The sequence below is a fragment of the Homo sapiens genome, chromosome 1 (genome assembly GCF_000001405.40).
Source record: "Homo sapiens chromosome 1, GRCh38.p14 Primary Assembly".
Lineage (NCBI taxonomy): Eukaryota > Metazoa > Chordata > Mammalia > Primates > Hominidae > Homo > Homo sapiens.
This window is the reverse complement of record NC_000001.11, coordinates 68,023,500-68,044,945: the sequence shown is the minus strand read 5'-3', so window position 1 is coordinate 68,044,945 and position 21,446 is coordinate 68,023,500. Positions and strand designations below refer to the sequence as shown.

Here is a 21,446-nt window from a genome sequence, read left to right as displayed (position 1 = left end):
TATTCTCAACCACTTGGAAAATACCCAAATGGTTCTACCATATAGCTTCTTATGAATTCTGTTCCTAAAAACCAATTCTTTGCTGAAGTACCTAATGTAGTAAATCTACTTCTAAAAGAAACTACTCTACCTTGGTTATTCTCCAGGGTAATTCTCCTTCAAAATGTATTGCATTTATTGTTGCTCCTAATAGGTGAGCAAACGGATTATTAAATTCAAGTGGCAAATACTAACCTTGAGAAAAGGAAGAACATGTTTTTAATGTTACAAGTAATAGTTTAAAAAAGAATTTTTGTTCCTGGGGTAACACCTTTATATAAGTAGGTAGTTGAGAATGATTTTATTTTCCATTAAAACTTGTGCTAAATGACAGGATTTTACCCCTCTACTTCTATCTTTGCCCAAATAGGAAAAATATAATCAGAATAATTACATTTTTAAAGACAATCTAATTACAACGTTTTTCCCTCCCAATAACCAACTAAACACATCAAAGGTCTCTTATGTTTCAGTTCAAATCAAATAACATGCATTAACTTTACAGTTCTCTGACTTCTAAATACCTTTGCTCTTGCTACTTCTGAGCCCTAAACACTTATCAACAGGTTGGATTTCAGCCAGGGAATCAGAATATTTTTGGATCATCCAATATCAGCTCGCCACCTAGACATACTTAGATATACTATAATTTCTTTCTTCCCAGGATGCTTAAGAAACAGTTTCATTTTCATGACCAGCAAGGGGTTCAGGAAGCATCCTACCACAGGGTCCCTGGAAATGAAACCTGAATCTTCTCATGGCTGAGGTGGTCTCCATGTTAAATTCGGTCACTGGCACTCCCTTGGCAGACATCTGGTGGGCAAACACAGCTGCGGGGTACACCACAGGGGGAGTATGTGCCACTAGACATAGTCACAAGGGTGAGCTGTCTGTCAACCTCCTCCAGAAAGGCGGGATCCAAGTTTTTGCCAAACCACAGGGCGTGAGGTTGCGGCAAGCCCCTGCTCTCTGCCTCTCACACCCGGCAAGTTTCCCAACTGGGATTCTGGCATCTTGAGTTCCAGGTCCTGGGGCACCTTCTCCTGATAAAGGTGGACCAACCGACTCTCATAATTCTCAGACACGACTCCACAAGAGGTACATGGAGTTTAAATAAGCTACAGTGGATTTCCAGAAGGTTCTTGGCGCCAGCCTTGGGTGCCGCCCATGGATATTCTGTCATGATCATGCCCTGGCGGCCCTGTCCGCCCAGCAGGGCATCACATTCGATGGTGGCGAGGTGCGGACTGGGCTCCTGCTCGGCCTGACCTCTCACCCGCAGTGGGGAGCTCCCACACCCAGAAAAGCGTGGGCAGAGGACAGAGGAGCTGCCAGGGCCTGGACTGACATTTTCCCCATGACCTCCGGCTTGTCTGAAGGGTGGAACCCCACTTACCGCAATAACATCAGCCCCTGAAATGACGACCACGTGCTTTGCTTTTGCAAAAAACTTCCGAAAATCTGCCATACTTGAACTGAGAGGAACCATTGTCTGGAAAATCTTGGTTTCTGTGGTGGCTGGAGGCTTCAGGCCACAAACAGCTGGGAAATTAATGGACTCGGGACAATGTGGAGAGGTTAGCAGGTTTTCTTACAGTTCTGATTCATTCATTCATTCATTCATTCATTCATTCAGAGACAGGGTCTCACCTTGTTGCCCAGGCTGAAGTGCAGTGGCACAGTCTTGGCTCACTGCAGCCTCCACCTCCCAGGCTCAAGCAATCCTTCCACCTCAGCCTCCCAAGTAGCTGGGATTACAGCCACCATTCCTGGATACTTTTTGTATTTTTTGTAGAGATGGGGTTTCTGCATGTTGCCCAGGCTGGTCTGGAACTCCTGGGCTCACGCAATCTCCCTGCCTCAGCCTCCCAAGTGCTGGGATTCCAGGCATGAGCCACTCTGCCCAGCAGTGGTTCTGATTCTTGCGTGGGCAGCAGGAGGTGGGGGTGGGGTGGAGCAGCTCAAAGTCCTGCCCCCAAATAAAAATATTTTAACATAGCAAATATTTATAATCTACACGCCAATGTTTCTGAACTGTAGAACGTATATAATCTTTCTACACGTTGACATGCTCTTACTTTAATCCTCACAACTATCCAATAAAAAAGTTACTGTTATGCCTGTGTTACAGATGGGGGGACACTGATAAATGTCACAAAACCGGTAAGTAGCAGAGCCAGGATTTGAACCCAACTGTTCTGCTCCAGGTCAGGGCTCTTGACCACTGTAGTACATTTCTTTTTTTTTTTTTTTTTTGAGATGGAGTCTGGCTTTGTCGCCCATGCTGGAGTGCAGTGGTGCGATCTCGGCTCACTGCAAGCTCCGCCTCCCGGGTTCACACCATTCTCCTGCCTCAGCATCCCGAGTAGCTGGGACTACAGGTGCCGCCACCACGCCCTGCTAATTTTTTGTATTTTTAGTAGAGAAGGGGTTTCACCGTATTAGCCAGGATGGTCTCAATCTCTTGACCTCGTGATCCGCCCACCTCGGCCTCCCGAAGTGCTGGGATTACAGGCGTGAGCCACCGCTCCCCGCCTGTAGTACACTTCTTCTCCAAGATGACTAGTCAAAGGGCGGAGGAGCTCACCTTTCTGTTCTCTATTCATATTATGCCAGGATGGAAAATGAACCTTCCTCAGAGTTTCTCCCGAATCCCAGATGGGAGGCAAAGAAGCAAGTCAACAATTTAACATGCATAGGGTGTTTTAGAAACAGGGAAGATAAGCACCTTTAATGAGGAGTGGGAAATATTTTCCCTGAAGAGATTACGTGACTGGAATCTTGTAGGTCTAGTAGGGTTGGTTTAGGTAGGGTGGGTGCAGGTGAGGGAAGGAGAGGAAGATATTTCATACTTCAGGCAGACAGGACAGTGAACAAAATCACAGACAAAATGTAGGGTCTGAGAGATCACAGCATGATTCCAGACATGGATGGAGGAAATTGTGGAAGACGAGCTGGAGAAATTAGAGTTAGAATTCATTCTTTAGAGCTAATGAGGAATTAGGAAGGGATTTAGGCAGACTTGATTATACTTGCATTTTGAAAAGATCATTCTAGAGCCTCTGTGGGAATGGAGAAAGACAGGTAGACCAATTAGAAAACTATTAGAATCATCCAGGAATGAGATTTTGAACAAATGCTTTAGCCATTGCCAGAGGGAACAGAGACAAGGGGATGGACTTGAGAATTATTTAGCAGGGAGAATGGCCAAAGTTTGGTGATGTGTTGGAGTTTAGAATAAAGGGAGAAACAAGGTGACTGCCATATTTCTGAGTGGGATTCCTGGGTGGGTCATGGGGTCATTGACCAAGTCCAGAAATGCACAAAGAAGGGTCAATTTGGGAGAAAATCTGTTTGCACATGCACATGTGGACAATAAATTACATTCTAGATAACAAAGTTGCAAGGTGTTTATGAGACAACCAGATGAAGGTTTCCAGTGCAAACTGGACTGGGATTAGAGACTTGAGACCATGATTTGTCAGTTTTCAACATATGGTGATGGTGAGGCTGTGGAGGAAGAGAAGAGGAGGTAAGATGAAAGTGTTTAGGGCAGAATCTTGGAGAACAGAAGCACTGAGCTACAGACAAAGAGGAAACAGTGAAGGGCACTTTGAAGTGACCAAAAGATAGGAGGAAACTCACAATGTACAGTAGTAAATACTGAGAGAGAAATGTGTTTCAAAGAAAAGCATGTAGTCCATCACAGCAAAAAAATAATAATATGAGGATTAGAAAGTCTTGTTCATACTCAGCAGAGATTTCTGGTCCCAGCCAAGAGAGAGAAGCCTCATTTCTCTCATATACTGTCTTACAACTAAAATAACCCTGGAAATAGCATAACAGATAAGCAAAGGAAAATACTTAAAGGTGGGAAAATGTGGGCGATTTAGGAACCTCAGCATGTAAGGAATGCTATGATAGTGAATTCTCTGGGTATCCTTATTGTGTCCGTGTATCCTGAATAGGACACTGCAGAAACCCCCAGGCTAGAACCACCAATAGGTGTACACGTGCATGAGCATGTGCATGCGTGTGCGCACACACACACACACACACACACAGGGCTGACAAAAGCATGTTTCCCCTAGCCAAGAAAGGACAAATTAACAAGAGAAAGTCTTTTTGGCAATATCTGTGCTACTCCAGTTAAACACCAATGGCAAAACCTCTTCTATTCTTCCTCCACCAAGAGGAAGATTGTCTTCCACCACACTGTACTCTTCCCTGAAGACGCAGATGCTAATGATTTGATTTCCTCTTCTGGTACTGTTACCAGCAGGACAGAATAGGAAACTATAGAGGCTGTCAACCTAAATGACAGTGAGAGGCTTTCTAAAAGAAAATTATGTTTATTTGGGAATAGAGTATTGCAAAGGGAATATACATGCAATAGTAAATTATTTGTATATTTGAATTAAAGGAAGACAAAGGTTTCTAAAGAAAAAAGAAATGAGGAGCATTACACAATTGTTCTTGAAATAATTATCCTTGGCTACAAAGATCAATGACAAGTATGACACCAGCCTGAGGTTGGACAGACAGTGCTGGTCATATGTCCTGCAGAAGTATTTTTTTGTGTGATTGTGATGGCCTTTGTGCCAGGTTGTGTTTTTTGTAGAGATTTTTTTCGGTTGTTATTATCAAGCATACAAGCATGAGAACCCTCTCTTCATGGCCTTCCCTAGCTCTTATTTGCCAGAGTTCTCTTAACTTTGGTGACACCATTTTGGCCCTGACAACTTTTGCAGGGCCAAGGAAAAACTTTCACCTTATCCTCTAAAAGTTTCCTGAAAATCAGTTGACAAATGGCAGACTAATAGCCAGAAATGCATACATATTTATTAATGTGCATGGGAGAGAATCACAGAGTGTTTATTAGTTTGTTTTCATGCTGATGATAAAGATATACCTGAGACTGGGTAATTTATAAAGAAAAAAGAGGCTCTATAGACTCCTAGTTCCATGTGGCCGGGGAGTCCTCACAATCATGGTGGAAGGCAAAAGGCACGTCTTTCTTGGTGGCAGGCAAGAGAGAATGAGAGCAAAGTGAAAAGGGAAACCCCTTATAAAACCATCAGACATCATGAGACTTATTCACTACTATGAGAACAGTATGGGGAAAACCACCCCATGATTCAATTATCTCCCACTAGGTCCCTCCCACAACACATGGGAATTATGGGAGCTATAATTCAAGATGAGATTTGGGTGGGGACACAGCCAAACCATATCAGAGTGGTTACTCCAACCCCCCAATGGGGCACAGAAGCTTATATACCCTTTGTCATAGAGCAGGGAGGAGACAGGGGCCCATCTTGCATTTGAAGGGAGGGAGAAATGAGACAAGTTAGAGAGACCTTGATTCTAGGGTTTATTTTTGAGTCCTCGCAATTCTTAAAAGCACTCAACATACTCAACTGCCATATTTTGGGAAATCATTTTCTGCACCACAACAGAGCTAATCCTCTATTTCAGATTCCTTCTATCCCTTCCTTGCTGGTAGGGTAGTGTGGTGGTAAGTGGTAGTATGGTAGCTTGGACCTGGCTCAGTGCTGAGCCTTAAAAAACAATGTCTTTTGACTAATAATCCAGTGTTGTTTTTGCCCCTACACCAGACTAACCCTCTAAGAGTTGTAAGACTTAGTCCTCACCTTCAAGTAGCATCATCAATCAGGAGTCAGAAGAGTCACATTTCATAATTTATTCCTAACTTTACAATTTTTTAGCCTTATATCTGAAATGAGCTGATTAGGTCGTTCATGCTCTGAATCCCTTTACAGGTTTGTGTCAGTGGCGTCAGTGAAAATGAATGAGGCTATGCAAGCTGGAGCTAGTTAATACTTCCCTCCCTCTCTCATCTCATCACTATGGCTCACTAAGGAGCTGAGCTAATACCCCAATAAGGCAGTACGAGTTTGCACCCACATTTTCTGAGAAGAGTTCTATAGGACTGAGAAGGAAGTTCAACTTTCAGTCCACCCTTCTGCAAAGAGGCAGTGTGAGCACACCACTTCCATTGAAAATACACACCCACTCGGCCCTCAAACTACATATCAGTGGAGATAATGCCTGGTAAAAAAGATTACATAGGATCTAGAGTCTTCCAAATGTCTAGAATACCACAGGAAATCACTTATCAAACTAAGAACCAAAACTAACTAAATAAATAAGTAAATAAAAATCACAGCTTAAATGAGAAAAGAAATGAACAGGCAACACCAAGATGAATTCCAAGGTGTTGGAATTATCTGAAGATAATTTTAAAGCAGCAATTATGAATTCTCTTTAACAAATAAAAAAAGAGAAAATCTTAACAAAGAAGTAGAAGTTATAAAAAGAATCAAATGGAAACTATAACACTGAAAAGTACAATAACCAAAATAAAAATCTTGCTAGATGGACTTAATAGTAGAGTGGAGATGACAGAGAAAATACCATCAGTGAACTTGAGGACAGATGAATATAATTTACCCAATCTGAGCAAGAGAGAGAAAGTAGAACAAAGAAAATTAACAGTGTCACAAGCGCCAACATTCATATTACCAGAGTCCCAGAAAGAGAGAAGAAAGAGAGAGGAGCAATTTACAGGGGAATACAGCTGCTGTCAAGGTGGAGGTGGGTAATGGAGGGGCACTGGATTCATTACACTTTCTTTTCCCCATACTGCTGCTCACTGCCCCCATCCCCTATTTTTACTACACTCTGCCTGGATTTTTCCTTCTCTTAATAAAGTCATATATTAAAATTCAAGGCATTCTTCAGGACTCAACAAATGCCAAATCTGTTGAAAGCCTTCCTTGCTTTCCTTAATGGAACTTGGTAGCACCTCTCTCACCACATGCCTCTAACTTACATTGAACTTTAGCTTGGACCTGGCTCAATGCTGAAGCTTAAAACAATGTCTTTTGACTAATAATCCAGTGTTGTTTTTGCCCCTACATCAGACTAACCCTCTAAGAATTATAAGACTTATTCCTCGCCTTCAAGTAGCATCATCAATCAGGAGTCAAAAGATTCACATTTCATATTTTACTCCTAACTTTACAATTTTTTAGCTTCAAGTCAGAACAAATCATTTCTCTCAGACTCAATTTCCTCATCTTTATAATGGAGGATAAAAAGTTCTTCTCTGTCTGCCACATCAAGTGACTAGGAAAATGGAATAGAATTTGCATGTGAAAATACTTTGTAAAGTATAAGAAAAGTGCAAGTAAATAATTTTAAATCAGGTTAGGTGAAAGAAAGAAGTGTTATTTACATTTATGGATGTGACAAGTTTCTACTTGCAGACTTTATGAAAGTTGGCAATTCTGAGTTGAGATTTTGGCCAGAGCCCTAACATTTTTGCACAGGAGTTGATAATAACTTCACAGCATGTTCTCCCCTTTCCACATTTGTTAAATTTCTATTACATTTCAGAATGTTTTCTGAAGATCAAACATTTTATAGTTAAGGTGTGCTTATGCCTCTTATTAAAACATTATCTCCAGAGTTATTTCCAAATTTTTTATGGTAACATCTTGAATAACTGTAGTACAATATCACAACCCAGAAACTGACATGAATACAACCTATCAATCTTATTCAGATTATCACCAGTTTTATATATCCTTGTGCTTGTATGTGTATGTGCATGTATTTAGTTCTATGCAATTTATCATATGTCGCAATTTATGTAATTACCACCACAGTTAAGATACAGAAGGATTTCTTGTGCTACTCTTTTGTAATCACACTCTTATCCCTCCCCCTGCACTTTGAGCCCTAAACACTGGCAACTATTAATCAGTTCTAGTATATCTATAATTTTGTCATATCAAGAAGGTTATATAAATGGAATCATGACGTATGTAAGCTTGTGGGATTGGTTTTTTTTTTACTCAGCATAATTCCCTTGAGATTCCCTCAAGTTGTGTGTATCAATAGTTCATTCCTCATTATTGCTGAATGATGTGGATGTGCTGTCGTTTGTTTAATCATTCATCCATTGAAGGACATCTGGATTGTTTTCAGTTTTGGCTACTACAAATAATACTGCTATAAGTGTCCACATGCAGATTTTTGTGAGAAAATAATATTCATTTCTCTGGAATAAGTGCCCAAGAGAACAGTTGCTGGGTCATATGGTGGTTGCATGTTTAGTTTTATAACAAACTGCCAAATGTTTTCCAGAATAGCTAAATCATTTTACTTTCCCACAAGCAATGTGTAGGTGATCTAATTTCTTTGCATTGTGATGACCAGCATTTGGTGTTGTAATTATTTTTTTTAAATTTTAGCTATTTTGATAATTGTGTAGTTATGTCTTATTGTGTTTCAATTTTTGTTTCCCTAATGGCTAATAAAGATGAACATCTTTTCACATGCTTATTTATCATCTGTATATATCCTCTTTAATAAAATGCTTATTTAGGGGTTTTGCCCATTTTCTAATTGGATTGCTTGTTTTTTATTTCTGAGTTTTTAGAATTCATTAAACACTCTATATTTTATTCCTTTTTCAGATACCTGATGTTCAAATGTCTTCTAGTTTGTAGGTTCTGTTTCTGTTTTCATTCTTTAACAGGGTCTTTCACAGAAGTTTTAAATTTGATGAAGTCCAACTTATCAAATTTTTCTTTAAGGATTAGGCTTTTGGTGTCAAGTCTAAGAACTTTTCACTTAGATTTTGAAGATTTTCTCCTATTTCTTGTTAAGATTTATAGTTTATGCTTTATATTTAAGTGGATGATCCATGTTAAGTTAATTTTATATAAGGTGTGAGGTTTAGGTTGAGTTTTTTTTTTTGAGTTTTTTTTTTTTAAGTTTTTTTTTGCCTGTGGATGTTTAATTGTTCCCAAACCATTTATTTAAAAGACTATTGTATTAGTCCATTCTCACATAGCAATAAAGAACTACCTGAGACTGGGTAGTTTATAAAGAAAAGAGGTTTAATTAACTCACAGTTCTGCAGACTGTACAGGATGCATGGCTGGTGTGGCCTTGGGAAACTTACAATCAAGGCAGAAGGCAAAGGGAAAGCAGGCACATCTTCACATGGTGACAGGAGACAGAGAGAGAATAAAGGGGGAAGTGCCACACACTTTTAAACCATCAGATCTCGTGAGAACTCACTCCCTGTTATGAGAACAGCAAGGGGGAAATCTGCCCCCATGATCCAATCACCTCCTACTAGGTCCCTCCCCAAGCACTGGGAATGACAATTCAAGATGCGATTTGAATCTCATCTTGAAATGTAAATCCTCATAATCTCCATGTGTCAAGGGGGAGCCCAGGTAGAGGTAATTGAATCATGGGGGTGGTTTCCCCCATGCTGTTCCCATGACAGTGAGTGAGTTCTCATGAGATCTGACGGTTTTATAAGGGCCTCCTCCCCATTCACTCGGCACTTCTCCTTCCTACTGCTTTATGAAGAAGGTGCCTTGCTTCCCGTTCACCTTCTGCCATGATTGTAAGTTTTCTGAGGCCTCCCCAGCCATGCTGAACTGTGAGTCAATTAAACCTTTTTCTTTTGTAAATTACCCAGTCTTCGGCTGCTTTTTTTTATAGCAGTATGAAAACAGACTAATACACATATCAACTATCTTCCCTACAGTGAACTGCTTTTGCACCTAGTGCATGCTTTTGCACAGTTAATTGAACATAATTGTGTGTGTCTATTTCTGAGTTCTCTGTTCTGTACCATTGATCTATGTGTCTATCTCTCCACCAATTTGACATTGTCTTGATTATTTAGCTTATATAGTAAGCCTTAATATTAGGTAGAGTTATTTCTGCCACTTTTTTGGGAGGCTGAATAATGGCCCTAAAACTATCCAGGTCCTAATACCTGAAACCTGTGAATGTTCCTTATACAGTTGGCCCTTACATAACATTAGTTTGAACAGTCTGGGTCCACTTATAGGTGGATTTTTCAAGATAAACATATTGAAAAAATTAGGGGGGTTTCTGAAAACTTGAAAAAAATTGAAGATGAACCACACAGCCTAGAAATATCAAAAAAAATTAAGAAACAGGCATGTACTAAATGCATAAAACATATAAATGCTAGTCTATTTGATTATTTGCTATAATAAAATATACACAAATTTATTATAAAAAGTTAAAATTTATCAAAATCTATACAAACAGACAACTTACAGTTGAGAGAAATGTAAACAAACATGAAGATAGAGTTGATATGGTTTGGCTCTGTGTTCTCATCCATATCTCATCTTAAATTGTACTCCCATAATTCCCATGTGTTGTGGCAGGTACCTGGTGAGAGAGAATTTGAATCATGGTGGCGGTTTCTCCCATACTGTTCTCTTGGTAGTGAATAAGTCTCACAAGATCTGATGGTTTTATCAGGGGATTCCACTTTTGCATCTTCCTCATTTTCTCTTACCGCCACCATGTAAGAAGTGCTTTTTGCCTCCCACCATGATTCTGAGGCCTCCCCAGCCATGTGGGACAGTAAGTCCAATTAAACTTCTTTTTTTCCCCCAGTCTCCAGTATGTCTTTATCAGCGGCATGAAAATGGACTAATACAACAGTATTCAATCGTAACAGCATGAAATTAACTATAGTACATATTACTTTAATAATTTTGTGGCCACTTCCTGTTGCTATTGTTGTGAGTTCAAGTGTTGCACCCATCCACTTAAAGTGCTGATGATGCTAAGCATCTCCATGTGAGCAGTTTGTGTCTTTCCAGTAAATTGCCTATCACAGTAAAAAGTGATCTCTTGTGGTTCTCATGTATTTTTTATCATGTTTGGTGCAATACCATAAATAACACCATGGGAACTATATGAAGTGTCACTAGTGATGCTGGAAGAACTCCTAAGAAGCAGGGAAAAGTCTTGACATTACAAAAAAAAAAGTTGAATTGTTAGATATGTACCATAGCTTGAGGGCTGCAACTGAGACCTCAATCTGCCATTTCAAGATAAATAAATCCAGCATAAATAAATCTGTTGTAAACAAAGAAAAGTACACTTGTGAAGCTATTGCTTCAAGTGTGAAAACCTGTACTTTCTGTAAAACATCTTTCTCATATTGAAAATCCAATTTTTATGTGGGTGCAGGATTGCTATAAGAAAGGCATACTTATAGACTCTAATGTGATTCGAGAAATAGTAAAGTCATTATATGAAAACTTTAAGGAAAAAGAAGATGAAGGATCTAAAGTTGGAGAATTTCATGCCAGCAAAGAACAATTTGATAATTTTAGAAAGAGATTTGGCTCTAAAAATGTTAAGGTTACAGGAGAAGAAACTCCTGCTGACCAAGAGGCAGCAGACAAGTTTCTAGATGCCATTAAAAGAAGAGAAAGGAAATTTGCCTGAACAACTTTTCAGTGTAGACAGAAGTGTTCTATTCTGGAGGAAAAAAATGCTGCAGAGGATATTTATTAGTAAGGAAAAGAAGTGAACACCAGGATTTTTGGCAGGAAGGGATGAGCTAACCCTACTGCTTTGTGGAAATGCAGTTGCGTTTATGATAATGACTGTTCTTCTCTATAAAGCTGCTAACCTCCAAGCCTTGAAAGTAAAAGATAAACACCAGTTGCCAGTTTTTTTATTGTTGTACAGCAAGAAGGCCTGGACAACAAAGGCCCTTTTTCTGTATTGGTTCCATTGATGCTTTGTCCTTGAAATCAACAAGTCCCTTACCAGTTAAAAACTGCCTTTTAAAGTTATTTTAATACTGGACAATGCCCTTGGCCACCAGAACCCCATGAGTTCAACACTGAAAGTTGTGAAATGGTCTCCTTGCCTCCCAAACACAACACCCCTAACTCATTCTTCAAAAGATGGGTCATGAGGACCTTTAAGGCTGATTATACATGGTACGCTATGGAAAGGACTGTCAACTCTATGGAGGAAAACCCCAATAGAGAGAACATCATGAAACTCTGGAAAGATTACACCATTAAACATGCCATCATTGTTACAGAAAAAGCCATGAATGTCATCAAATCCAAAGTGATAAATTCCTGTTGGAGAAAACTGTGTCCAGATGTTGTGCATGACTTCACAGGATTTACAACAGAGCCAGTGAACGGAATCTGAAACAGATTGTGGATACGGTTAAAAAGGTAGAGGACGAAGAATTTCAAGATACGGATCTTGGTGAAATTCAAGATCTAATAGACACTACACTAGAGGGATTAACAGATGATGACTTGATGAGTGCTTCTGAACTGGTGCCAGATTATGAGGAAGAAGATGTAGAAGAAGCAGTGCCAGAAAACAAATTGACATTAAACAATCTTCCACAACAGTTCTGATTATTCAAGACCTCTTTTGATACTTTTTTTGGTGATGTAGATCCTTCTAATGGGCATTAAAACTAAAGCAAATGGTGAAAGAAGGATTGGTATTATAGAAGCATTTCTAGAGAAATGAAAAAGCAAAAAAGTCAGGAAGAAATTATGTTGTATTTCTGCAAAGTTACCAGAGAAATAAAAAAGCAAAAAAGTCAGGCAGAAATTATGTTGTATTTCTACAAAGTTACACTGACTGTGCCTGCCTCTCCTGCCCCTTGCCTCCCCTTCCACCTCCTCTTGTTTTTCCACCTCTGACACCCCTGAGACAGCAAGTGCAACTTCTCCTTTTCTTCCCCTGAGACAGCAAGTCCAAATGCTCCTTTTCTTCTTCCTCCTCAGCCTGCTTAGCATGAAGATAATTAGGATGAAAACCTTTGTGTTGATCCACTTCCACTTAATTAATAGTAAATATATTTTCTCTTTTAAATAATTTTCTTAATGACATTTTCTTTTTTCTAGTTTATTGTAAGAATAAAATATATAAAAATGTACAAAATATGTGTTAATCAACTATTCATGTTATCAGTAAGGCCTCCATCAAGAGTAGGCTATTAGTAGTTAAGTTTTGGGGGAGTCAAAAGTTACATGCAGGTGTATTCCTAAGTATTTTCATTTGTTTATTTGTTTTTGCAGCTATCATAAAAGAAGTTGAGTTCTTGATTTAATTCTCAGCTTGGTTGCTATTGGTGTATTGCAGTGCTACTGATTTGTGTACATTAATTTTGTATCCTAAAATTTTGCTGAATTCATTATCAGTTTTAGGAGGTTTTTGGATGAATCTTTAGTGTTTTCTAGATATATGATCATATCATCAGCAAACAGCAACAGTTTGACTTCCTCTTTACTGATTTGGATGCCTTTTATTTCTTTCTCTTGTCTGATTGCTCTGGCTAGGACTTCCAATACTATGTTGAATAGAAGTAGTGAGAGTGGTCATCCTTGTCTTGTTCCAGTTCTCAGGGAGAATGCTTTCAACTTTTCCACATTTAGTATAATGTTGGCTGTGGGTTTGTCATAGATGACTTTTATTACCTTAAGGTATGTTCCTTCTATGCCAATTTTGCTGAGGGTTTTAGTCATAAAGGGATGCTGGATTTTGTCAAATGTGCTTTTTCTGTGTCTATTGAAATAATCATGTGATTTTTGTTTTTAGTTCTGTTTGTGTGGTGTATCATATTTATTGACTTTATATGTTCCATCCCTGAATCCCTGAAAGGCCTCTACAAGGAAAACTACAAAACACTGCTGAAAGAAATTATAGGTGACATAAACAAATGGAATCACATCCCATGCTCATGGATGGGTAGAATAACTATTGTGAAAATGACCATACTGCCAAAAGCAATCTACAGATTCAAGGCAATTCCCATCAAAATACCACCGTCATTCTTCATAGAACTAGAAAAAACAATCCTAAAAATCATTTGGAACCAAAAAAGATACCACATACCCAAAGCAAGACTAAGCAAAAAGAACAAATCTGGAGGCATCACACTGCCTTACTTCAAACTATACTATAAGGCCATAGTCACCAAAATAGCATGGTACTGGTATAAAAACAAGCACATAGACCAATGGAACAGTATACAGAACCAAGAAATCAAGCCAAATACTTCCAGCCAACTGATCTTCAACAAAGCAAATAAAAACATAAAATGGGGAAAGGACATCTTATTCAACAAATAGTGCTCAGCTCCTTGGTAAACCACACATAGAAGAATGAAACTTGATCCTTATCTCTCACCTTATACAAAAATCAACTCAAGACAGATCAAAGACTTAAATCTAAGACCTGAAACCATAAAAATTAATTATAGAAGATAACATTGGAAAAACCTTTCTAGACATTGGCTATATGCATATATTTCCTGACCAAGAACCCAAAAGCAAATGCATCAAAACAAAGATAAATAGATGAGACTTAATTAAACTAAAAAGCTTCTGCAAAAAACGGAAATAATCAGCAGAGCAAACAGACAACCCACAGAGTGGGGGAAAATCTTCACAAACTGTGCTCCTGACAAAGGACTAATATGCAGAATCTACAAGAAACTCAAACAAACCAGCAAGAAAAAAACAAACAATCTTATCAAAAAGTGGGCTAAGGATATGAATAGACATATCTTCAAAAGAAGATATACAAATGGCCAACAAACTTATGAAAAAATGCTCAACATCACTGATAATCAGGGAAATGCAAATTAAAACCACAATGCAATACCTCCTTACTCTGCAAGAATGACTATAATATAAAAAATAATAAAATAATAGATGTTGGCGTAGATGTGGTGAAAAGGGAACACTTTAATGCTGCTGGTGGGAATGTAAACTAGTACAACCACTGGGAAAAACAGTGTGAAGATTCCTTAAAGACTAAAAGTAGATCTACCATTTGAACCACCAATCCCACTACTGGGTATCCACTCAGAGGAAAATAAATCATTACACAAAAAAGATACTTGCATACGCATGTTTGTAGCAGCACAATTCACAATTGCAAAAATATGGAACCAGCCCAAATGCCCATCAGTCAACAAGTGGATAAAGAAAATGTGGTACATATATACCATGAAATACTACTCATCCATAAAAAGGAATGAAATAATGGCATTTGCAGCAATCTGGATGAAATTGAAGACCATTATTCTAAGTGAAGTAATTCAGGAATGGAAAATCAAACCTTGTATGTTCTCACTCATAAGTGGGAGCTAAGCTATGAGGATGCAAAGGCATAAGAATAATACAGTGGACTTTGGGAACGCAGAGGAAAGTGTGGAAGGGGGGTGAGGGATAAAGGTGTACAAGTACAATGTACACTGCTTGAGTGATGGCTGCACCAAAATCTCAGAAATCATCACTAAAGAACTTATCTATGTAACCAAACACCCAAAAACTACTGAAATAATTTAAAAAATGTTATATGCAGATTTTCTATTGCGCAAGGTGCCAGCATCACTAGTCCTCACATTGTTCAAGCATCAACTATATAGGAGAAGGGACTTTGCAGAGGGGATTAAGGATCTTGAGAGATGGGACAATTATTCTTTATTATCTGTGTGGGTCGTAAATGAATTATATATGTCCGTATACAAGGGAGGCAAAGGAAGATTTTACTACAGAAGAGGAGAAGGCAGTATGACTATGAAAGTGGAATTGGAGTAATGCACCCATGAGCCAATGAGGCCAGCAGCATCTAGAAGCTGGAAGAAGCATGAAAAAGATTATCTCCTGGGGCCTCCAGAAGTAACCATTGCTGTCACACCTGGACTTTAGTCCAGTGAAACAGAATTTGGATTTCTGGCCTCCAGAACTGTAAGATAATAAATGTGCATTGTTTTAAGTCACCAAGTTTGGGTTAACTTATTATATCAGTCACAGGAAACTAACACAAAATTTCTTCTTTTTTCAAGATTGTTTGAACTATTCTAGGTTTTGTGTTTGTCCATATAAATTTTAGAGCAGTTCATCTATATTTCCAAAAAATCTTGCTGGGATTTTGATGGGAATTACATTAAATCTATAGCTCATTTCTGAGAGAACTGACATCTTTACTACATTAAGTGTTCCGATCCATGAGCATAATATGTCGTGTCACTTATTTAGGTCATCTATAATTTCTTTCATAAGCATTTTGTAACTCAGTATACAAATCCTGCATGTCTTTTATTGTGTTTATAATTATTTCATTTTCTTTAGAGCAATTGTAAATAGTACTGTGTTTTAAATTTTGGCTTCCAGATTTTTGTTGTTAGTATATAGAAATACAATTGATTCTTGTGTGTTGATGTTACATCCTGCGGCGGTTGCTAAACTCAGTGATGTGGTTTGGCTATGTCCCCACCCAATCTCATCTTGAATTGTAGTTCCCATAATCTCCACATGTTGTGGGAGGGACCTGGTGAGAGGTAATTGAATCATGGGGGCAGTTATCCCCATGCTGTTCTTGTAATAGTGAGTGAGGTCTCACGAGATCTGATTATTTTATAAGGGGCTTTTCCCCCTTTGCTAGGCACTTCCCTCTCCTGCCATCATATGAAAAAGGATGTGTTTGCTTCCCCTTCCACTATGATTGTAAGTTTCCTGAGGCCTTCCCAGCCATGCAAAACTGTGAGTCAATTAAACCTCTTTCCTTTATGTTACCCAGTCTTGGGAAGTTCTTTATAGCAGCATGAGCATGGACTAATATACTTAGTTATTAGTGTTAGGATGTTTTTTGGAATTTTCTACATAGAGAGTCATATTATGTAGAAATAGTAGCAGTTTAATTTCTTTCCTAATTATTGTGACTTATTTTTTGGCTTTATTTTGGTAGGTAAAAATTCCAGAATTATGATGACTAGGAATGGTGACAGTAGACATTCTTGTCTTAGCCCTGATCTTAGGTGGAAAGCATTCAATCTTTAACCATTATGTGTGATGTTAGCTGCAGTGTTTTTGTAGATGCCCTTTATCATGTTGAGGTAGTTCTCCTTCATTACTAATTTGCTGAATGTCAGACTTTATAAAGTGCTTTTTCTGCTTCAATTGATATAATCATGTTGTCCTTCCTTAGCCTGTTAATGCAGTGAATTACATTATTGATTTTTAAGTGTTGAACCAACCATGTATAGCTGGAATAAATCCTACTTGTTAACAGAGTATAATTCTCTTCATATATTACTGGATTCCATTTCCTAATATTTTGTTGAAGATTTATGTCTAAGTTCATGAGATACACTGGAGATACTGCGTCAGAGTTTTTTGAGGTTTTTTTGGTACTCTTTTTGTCTGGTCGTGGCATCAGGATAATACTGGCCTTATGTAAAATGACTTAGGAAGTGTTTCCTCTTTTTCCATTTTTTGGAGTAGACTGTGTAAAATTGTGTTAAATCTTCTTTAAATATTTGGTAGTATTCTCTGGGGAAATCATTTAGGCCTGCAGATTTATTTTGAGGGAAATTTTAAATTATGAATTCAATGTATTTAATGGTTTAGGACCATTCATATGTTTCATCTTAGATGATTTTTGGCAGTATGTGTCTTTTGAGAAATTTGTATGTTTCTTCTAAGTTGTTGAATTTAAGCATAAACTGTGTATATTATTCCTTTACTATCCTTTTAATCACTATAGGGTCTGTAGTGATAAGCCATTTTTTATTTTTAATATTGATGATTTGTGTATTTTTTCTTTTTATCTTTGTCATTATTATAGGTTTATATATTTTATTGAATTTTTTGAAGAACTACCTATTGGTTTAATTATGTTCTTATTTTCAATTTCTTCGATTTCTGCTCATTATTATTTCCTTCCTTAAACTTGCTTTCAGTTTCTATTATTCTTTTTCTAATTTATCGAGGTAAAAATATAAATTTTTGATTTGAGACTTTTATTTTAATGTAAGCATTTGGTGCTATAAAATTTTCTCTCAGCAATGTTATAGGTGCATCTTACATATTTTGATATATATTATATTTTCAATTTTATTATGTTCTATGTATGTTTTAAACATCCTTTGACACTTCCTTTTCAACTCATAGATTATTTAGAAGTATTTTGTTTCATTTCCAAGTGTGTAGAGATTTTGTGGATAATTTGCCACAAGTGATCAATAAATACACAGTACACATGCAATGAATAAAATGAGAGACATGCATAAATAATTACAATACAGTGTGGTAAGTTATTTTGACGGTAATACAGCAGGCTATGAATGCAGAGGAAGGGCAGCAAACCCAACCTATGGTAGTAGGACAGAGGGGTATGTGGTGCAACCAAGGAAAACTTTGAGGGTGAAGGCTATATAGGTTAAGCTATGAGTAACGGAAAAATCTAAAATGACAGTGGCTTAGGTGAAATAGAAGTTTATTTCTTCCTCATAGGCAAAAAGTCTGTAGCTAGTCAGTCTAGGACTCGTGTGGTGCTCCAAAGTGTCAAGGATCAGACTCTTCCTATCTTCTTTCTCCACCCACTTTGCTTCTCTTCTTTTCATGATTCAAGAAGGTTGCTGAAGCTGTAATATCACTCACATATTCCAGTCAGTAAGAAGGGGGAGAATGGAAGAGCATTGTTCTTTCCCTTTATATACATTTCCTTTAGTTGTACTCATCACTTCCCTTAATGTCCCACTGTCAGAATTTAGTTCATGCCCTTCTCCTCAGGTTTCAGGGAAGTGGGCACATATCTTCAGAGAGGTTGGCACATATATCCTTTATCTTCTTAGGATAAAGAAGATATGTGCCCTGCCAAGCTAAGGGTTTTGTTACCATGGAAGAAGAGAATATATGTGGATACAGTTAGCGGTTTCTGTCACAAGACACCTCCCAAATCTACATTATATACTTCTGTAAACTCTATTAACCGAAGAAGCCATTCCTTATTACAATTCTCAGTTCAGACTATCTCATCTTTTTAATCACTATGGACATGCTTCATGGAGTGGAGACTGCACCAACACAAGAGGAGATATGGCTGAATTGGCCAAGACTCTTTCTCTCCATGCATCTCAGCTTCATTGACCATAATACAAAAGTTTAGGACAAGATAATCTCTTAGGTCTAACCCCCAAAAATCCATAGATGAGAGAGAAATTTTGCAATATTACTGCTTGGATGGGAGCAAGAGGAAGGGGGATATAAATCACTCTTCCAGTTCTTTGAAGGAACTAACTGTTCTAAGGAACTGGAATCTACAGCTCTTAGCCTTATGTGACTATTGTACACTTGAAATGTGGCTAAAGTGAAATGTGTTGTATGTATAAAATACAGTCTGGACTTAGTATGAAAAGAATAAATGTAGAATATCTCATCATTTTGTATATTTATTACATGTTGAATGATAATATTTTGAGTACTGTGGGTTAAACGAAATATGTTTTTAAAATTACTTTCATGTTTCTTTTCACTTTTTTTAATATGGCCATCAGGAAATTTAAAATTATATACATGGCTCATCTTTATGACTCACTTTATGTTCCTACTGATCAGTGCTGATCTATAAGACTGCCTGTTGGAACCAATTTCTAATTTGAGTTTGATTAAATACATTAGACAGGATCAAAAATCAAGTGTCTTAGAAAAATGATAGCATATATTTAAAATTCTATGCATTGTCAGATGTCTGAGGAATTTCATGAATTTCAAGATGAACAGAAGTATAACAAAATCCACTGAGATATGTTTGCATACAAATGAATTTGAATAGCATATCTATAAGCTACATCTATAAACCTGGGCTCACAGGCCCAGAGCTTAGGAAAAAAAAAAGTCAGATTTAGTGATTCCAGAGCATTGGTAAGGTTGAAAATGAATGAAAACTGAAAGTATTTCCATTGCACTGATATAGAGTCAGTATCAGGGTACTGATACTGAATCCCAAAGCTGCCATCCATTTGAAACTGGGAAGTGGTGGAAAGAAACCTAGTGTGGAGATGAACACAATTTTGCAAATGGTGAGTCAATAAATTTAACCATTTGACATGTTGTGGGTGTATGTGGGTAGGTTCATAAACGCCATCTGTTCTATCCTCTGAGTGAATGGCCATGGGCTAGAGAAGATTTCCCAAACTCAAAACAGCACTGGAGTCCCCCATGTCCTGCCTCAAGACTTCCTTTATAGTTCCCTCTGAGCATGTCACTCCATATACCCTTTCCCCAACCAGCCTGGAAAATTAGCTGTCCCCCAAATATCCCATGTAGTCTTTTCTTTGTGGTCTCTTCATTCACGATGTGCTTTTCAATTTTATTTAATATTATTTAATATTAGTTTTATTGAATATTATTATTATATTATTATTTATTAATTTTATTTAATATTAAAGTAATCCCAGTGAGGAACCACATGGTCTAATTAAAACAAACAAACTGTAAATGTATTGTACATCTGCATGTGGCATTTACCAGATGAGAAATAGATGAAGCTCAGAACAGTTAAATAAGTAACCCAAGATTACTTATAATAGAGAGTTGCAGGTACCAGTCATGCTGAGATCGCTGGAACTGGGATTCTCACCCAAATCACCTGACGTCACCAAAATGAGCCCAGAGTTAGAAAACGTGGGTTTAATCTCATGTCTCCTCTTTCTTGGTGTGTGACCTAGTGAGTTGTGCAAATGAAATAAAACACCTATGAAATCATTGTTTATAGTGCCTGACACTTAGTAAATCCTCCACCCATTACATGAATTAGATGTCTCCTTCACTTTTTACTTGCCCTAGATATTCACTCCATGGCTAAAGTATCATTCTACCCAACACCCACTACCTCTGTACCCTCAGAGATTATGTTTATCTGATATTTGTAAAAGAAGCACATCTTAACAATTCCATTTCTAAAAGCTCTACATTCAGGTGTGGGAGGTGACTAGCCTGCCATGTTAATGCATGTCCTCCTGTTTACTCCTTTCTCTTTGAAAGCTCATGTGGCCTCTTTGCAAAGGTGGTCATTAATCCAGAGTGGGACCAAAAGAGACTGATTTGGAGGAAAATGACTGGTACCTGCAACTCTCTATTAGCATGTTATTCTTCGCAACCTGAAGCTGAACATTGTGAAATGTATTTGTTCCCAGTGCAATTTAAATGTGAAATGAGCCATGCTGTGAAGCTGGGCTATTTGAGGACAAGGCAGTTCTTCACGTATTTGGAATTGTTGCCTGAAAATGCCCACCAGAGTGAAAATGCCCCCCGCCCTGATGGTATGGATATACTTTAAGGTGCTAACTTTAATATCAGCTCTGCCATGCTTAACTAGCTGGTGGCCTGTGGAAACTTCTGTGGATTGCAGTTTTTTCATCTTTAAAATGATAGAATTTTAAACTCAAGGTCCATAGCAGGCAAGTAGGGGTTTAAATGATGGTATATGAGGAGTTATATTCCAAGTTGTATTCCGTTTGTCTCGCCAAACCAGTTTTGAATACAGAGCCTTCACCTCTAGTTCTAAACCATAGCTCTCTAAAGACTCAACCTTCGTTCCTCCTTCCTTACAGCCCACTCAGCTACATCTGTTCTTTGCTACTCAGGTTAACACTGCCTCGGTTAGACCTTCTCTGATTGTCCAGACTGGGTTATATCTCCATTGTAAGTTCCCATCAAACCCTGTCCTTCTCCTTTGCAGCA

At 38.0% G+C, this 21,446-nt stretch overlaps 1 long non-coding RNA gene and 1 pseudogene across 1 annotated transcript in view; both read right to left on the bottom strand.

The window, feature by feature from the left end:
* Nucleotides 1-21,446, bottom strand: part of GNG12-AS1 (GNG12, DIRAS3 and WLS antisense RNA 1) — a 370,700-nt gene that overhangs the window by 158,042 nt on the left and 191,212 nt on the right. Inside the window, exon 2 of the long non-coding RNA NR_040077.1 lies at nt 10,183-10,299. This is a non-coding gene — a long non-coding RNA (GNG12, DIRAS3 and WLS antisense RNA 1). The remainder of the gene's footprint in view (nt 1-10,182; nt 10,300-21,446) is intronic.
* LOC100133029 (sirtuin 5 pseudogene) lies at nt 673-1,643 on the bottom strand (annotated as a pseudogene).